The sequence below is a fragment of the Homo sapiens genome, chromosome X (genome assembly GCF_000001405.40).
Source record: "Homo sapiens chromosome X, GRCh38.p14 Primary Assembly".
In the NCBI taxonomy this organism is placed as follows: Eukaryota; Metazoa; Chordata; class Mammalia; order Primates; family Hominidae; genus Homo; species Homo sapiens.
The window spans coordinates 395,666-400,000 of NC_000023.11; the positions used below are offsets into that span (position 1 = coordinate 395,666).

At 52.9% G+C, this 4,335-nt stretch overlaps 1 annotated feature.

Moving 5' to 3' along the window:
- Positions 1,419 to 2,304: an enhancer, noted in NCBI's record as "H3K27ac-H3K4me1 hESC enhancer chrX:357819-358704 (GRCh37/hg19 assembly coordinates)". NCBI's record gives its function as "activates a minimal SCP1, AML or CMV promoter by ChIP-STARR-seq in primed H9 embryonic stem cells {active_cell/tissue: H9 hESC(primed)}" and the evidence as "EXISTENCE:reporter gene assay evidence [ECO:0000049][PMID:30033119]".

Sequence of the window (4,335 nt, forward strand, 5' to 3'; positions counted from 1 at the left end):
TTTTTTTTTTTCTGCGTAAGACCTACATTTGACTCAGAGTGTAGTTGGTGAAATGCACATTTTTCTTAATGACAGAAGGACGTATTTCTTTCTTTCTTTCTTTCTTTTTTTTTTTGAGACAGACTGTCACTCTGTCGCCCAGGCTGGAATGCAGTGTCGTGATCTCAGCTCACTGCAAGCTCCGCCTCCCGGGTTCACGCCATTCTCCTGCCTCAGCCTCCCTAGTAGCTGGGACTACAGGCACCCGCCACCACGCCCGGCTAATTTTTTGTATTTTTAATAGAGACAGGGTTTCACCATGTTAGCCAGGATGGTCTCGATCTCCTGACCTCGTGATCCGCCTGCCTCAGTCTCCCACAGTGCTGGGATTACAGGCGTGAGTTACCGTGCCCGGCCGAAATGCACATTTTTCTGAATGACAGAAGGATGTATTTCTTTTTTTTTTTCTTTTTTTGAGACAGAGTCTCGCTCTGTCACCCAGGCTGGAGTGCAGTGGCGCGATCTCGGCTCACTGCAAGCTCCACCTCCCGGGTTCATGCCATTCTCCTGCCTCAGCCGCCTGAGTAGCTGGGACTACAGGCGCCCGCCACCACGCCCGGCTAATTTTTTTGTATTTTTAGTAGAGACGGGGTTTCACCGTGTTAGCCAGGATGGTCTCGATCTCCTGACCTCGTGAGCCGCCCACCTCGGCCTCCTAAAGTGCTGGGATTTACAGGCGTGAGCCACTGCGCCCGGCCAGAAGGACGTATTTCTGATAGCCAGGGGTAGTGATTTACAGCACTGTAGTACAGAAAACTGTTTTTTTCCTCTTTGTAAAAGGAGTAGTTGCTGATTGGAGAAAACTTGGGAAGTACAGAGAGTATTCAAAAATCAGGGCTGGGCTTTGGGAGGCTGAGGCAGGCGGATCACAAGGTCAGGAGTTCGTGACCAGCCTGACCAACATGGTGAAACCCCGTCTCTACTAAAAATACAAAATTAGCTGGGTGGGGTGGTGGGCACCTGTAATCCCAGCTACTCAGGAGGCTGAGGCAGGAGAACCACTTGAACCCAGGAGGCGGAGGTTGCAATGAGCCGAGATTGCACCACTGCACTCCAGCCTGGGCAACAGAGCGAGATGCCATCTGAAAAAAAAAAAAAAAAAAAAAAAGCCGGGCCGGATGGCTCCTGCCTGTAATCCCAGTACTTTGGGAGGCTGAGGTGAGAGGATCACTGGAGCCTAGGAATTTGAGATGAGCTTGGGCAACATAGCAAGACCCCATCTCTACCAAAAAGCAAAATTAGCTGGGCATGGTGGCCCATGCTGTAGTCCCAGCTACTCGGGAGGCTGAGGCAGGCGGATTACTTGATCCCAGGAGTTTGAAACTAGTCTGGGCAACGTAGTGAGATGCCATCTCTACCCCCCCCCCAAAAAAAATTAGCCCAGCATGGTGGTGTGCACCTGTAGTCCTAGCTACTCGGGAGGCTGAGGTGGGAGGATCACTTGAGCCCAGGAGGTCAAGGCTGCAGTGAGCCGAGATCACACCATTGCATTCCAGCCTGGGCAACAGAGCAAGACCCTGTCTCACATAAAATAAAATAAATAGGCCGGGCGCAGTGGCTCATGCCTGTCATCCCACACTTTGTGAGGCCGAGGCGGGCGGATCACGAGGTCAGGAGTTTGAGACCATCCTGGCCAACATGGTGAAACCCCGTCTCTACTAAAAATACAAAAAAAAAAAAATAGCCGGGCATGGTGGCGGGCGCCTGTAGTCCCAGCTACTCGGGAGGACGAGGCAGGAGAATGGCGTGAACCCGGGAGACGGAGCGTGCAGTGAGCCGAGATCGTGCCACTGCACTCCAGCCTGGGCGACAGAGCGAGACTCCGTCTCAAAAAAAAAAAAAAAGTCCAGACATGGTTGTTCAACAGCACAGAGGGACGTCTTGCTGAGAAGTGGCCGGACGAGGCTGCCCCAGACACCGCAGCCCTCTCCTCCTGCCCCCCACACCCTCCAGGACTGAAGAGGCCGTAGGCTCGGCCGGCAGCATCTGCTCCCTTTGTCCTCCAAAGGAACCCGTGTGTGGAAGGAATGCCTCCGGGGAGAACAGCTGACGTCCGGTGCCGTTTTGGCAGCACGGAACCCCAGTTATTTTCAGATGTCTTGTTCGTGCCCCAGAGGTCAGGGACCAGCAGCTTTCAGGAAGCCTCGGCCAGGCACTGCGTTAACTCCGCGATGACTTTCTGGCTGCAGAATCCCAACTATGCAATTCACTCTTAATCCCCAGCTTCAAGGCACTGTCAGGCGTTTCCGTGACAAAAACTCTCTCTTTTTTTTTTCTTTTCTTCTTTTGTTTTTTTTTTTTTTTTTTTTGAAATGGAGTCTTGCTCTGTCACCCAGGCTGGAGTGCAGTGGTGTTATCTCTGCTCACAGCAACCTCCGCCTCCCGGGTTCAAGCGATTCTCCTGCCTCAGCCTCCCGAGTAGCTGGGACTACAGGCACCCGCCACCACGCCCGGCTAATATTTTGTATTCCTTGTAGAGATGGGGTTTCAGCATCTCTACGCTATTTCCAAATAAGGTCCCAGGCTGGGGGCGGTGGCTCACACCTATAATGTTGGCCAGGCTGGTCTCGACCTCCTGACCTCAAGCGATCCACCCGCCTCGGCCTCCCAAAATGCCGGGATGACAGGCGTAAGCCAACGCGCCCGGCCAGAAACCTGCTATATTCTGCACCGTTTTTCCGGGTCCAGGCAGACGTGGGTCCCTGTGGTTTCAGAGCACAAGTGGTGTTTTATGGAATCATCTTCGCTGTGGCAAGCACACTATGGTAGATGGGATAGGGTGGGTGTTGGTGGTGAGGAAGAGGTCGTGCCCGTCCGTGGATGACGTGGGAAGCTCTCGAAGAGTTGCTGGCATTTGTACCTGTTTGCACGCAGCAGCGCTCTGAGTGGCAGAGACAGGATGTCCCCCAGATCCCACGTCCCCGCAGTTGTTAGTGAGACGGATGCCTCGGGATGTGCCTTGGTCTCTGGTTTGAGAACGTTTCTGTTGACTTGCCATTTTCTAACCACGGGGCGCACAGCAGAGTCAGAACTGGGTTACAGAACGTGGGCTATGGACTCCAGTTGCCTTTCTGACCTACTTTATTTTGTTTTGTTATTTTATTTTATTTATTTATTTATTTTTTGAGACGGAGTCTCGCTCTGTCGCCCAGGCTGGAGTGCAGTGGTGCGATCTCGGCTCACTGCAAGCTCCGCCTCCCGGGTTCACACCATTCTCCTGCCTCAGCCTCCCGAGTAGCTGGGACTACAGGCGCCCGCCACCACACCCGGCTAATTTTTTGTATTTTTAGTAGAGACGGGGTTTCACCGTGTTGGCCAGGCTGGTCTCAAACTCCTGACCTCAAGTGATCGGCCCACCTTGGCCTCCCAAAGTGCTGGGATTACAGGCGTGAGCCATCACGTCCGGCCTTCAAGTACACTTTCTGTTGAATGCATACTGCTTTCTCTCCAGCATAAAGTTAAAAAATCCTGAATTGCACCATTGGAAGCTGGGGACTGTCTGTATGCAATATTATGTATAGTTTGATTTCTTTTTTTGCATTTTTTTTTTAAATTTTTTTGAGACAGAGTTACACTCTTGTTGCCCAGGCTGGAGTGCAGTGGCACGATCTCAGCTCACTGCAACCTCCACCTCCCGGGTTCAAGCAATTCTCCTGCCTCAGTCTCCCAAGTAGCTGGGATGACAGGCGTGAGCCACCACGCCCGGCTAATTTTGTATTTTTAGTGGAGATGGGGTTTCTCCATGTTGGCCAGGCTGGTCTCGAACTCCTGACCTCGTGATCCGCTCGCCTCAGCCACCCAAAGTGCTGAGATAACAGGCGTGAGCCACCGTGCCTGGCTAATTTTGTATTTTTAGTGGAGATGGGGTTTCTCCATGTTGGCCAGGCTGGTCTCGAACTCCTGACCTCGTGATCCGCTCGCCTCAGCCACCCAAAGTGCTGAGATAACAGGCGTGAGCCACCGTGCCGGGCTAACTTTGTATTTTTAGTGGAGATGGGGTTTCTCCATGTTGTCCAGGCTGGTCTCGAACTCCTGACCTCATGACCCGCTCGCCTCGGCCACCCAAAGTGCTGAGATGACAGGCGTGAGCCACCGTGCCCGGCTAATTTTGTATTTTTAGTGGAGATGGGGTTTCTCCATGTTGTCCAGGCTGGTCTCGAACTCCTGACCTCATGACCCGCTCGCCTCGGCCACCCAAAGTGCTGAGATGACAGGCGTGAGCCACCGCGCCCGGCTAATTTTGTATTTTTAGTGGAGACGGGGTTTCTCCATGTTGGCCAGGCTGGTCTCGAACTC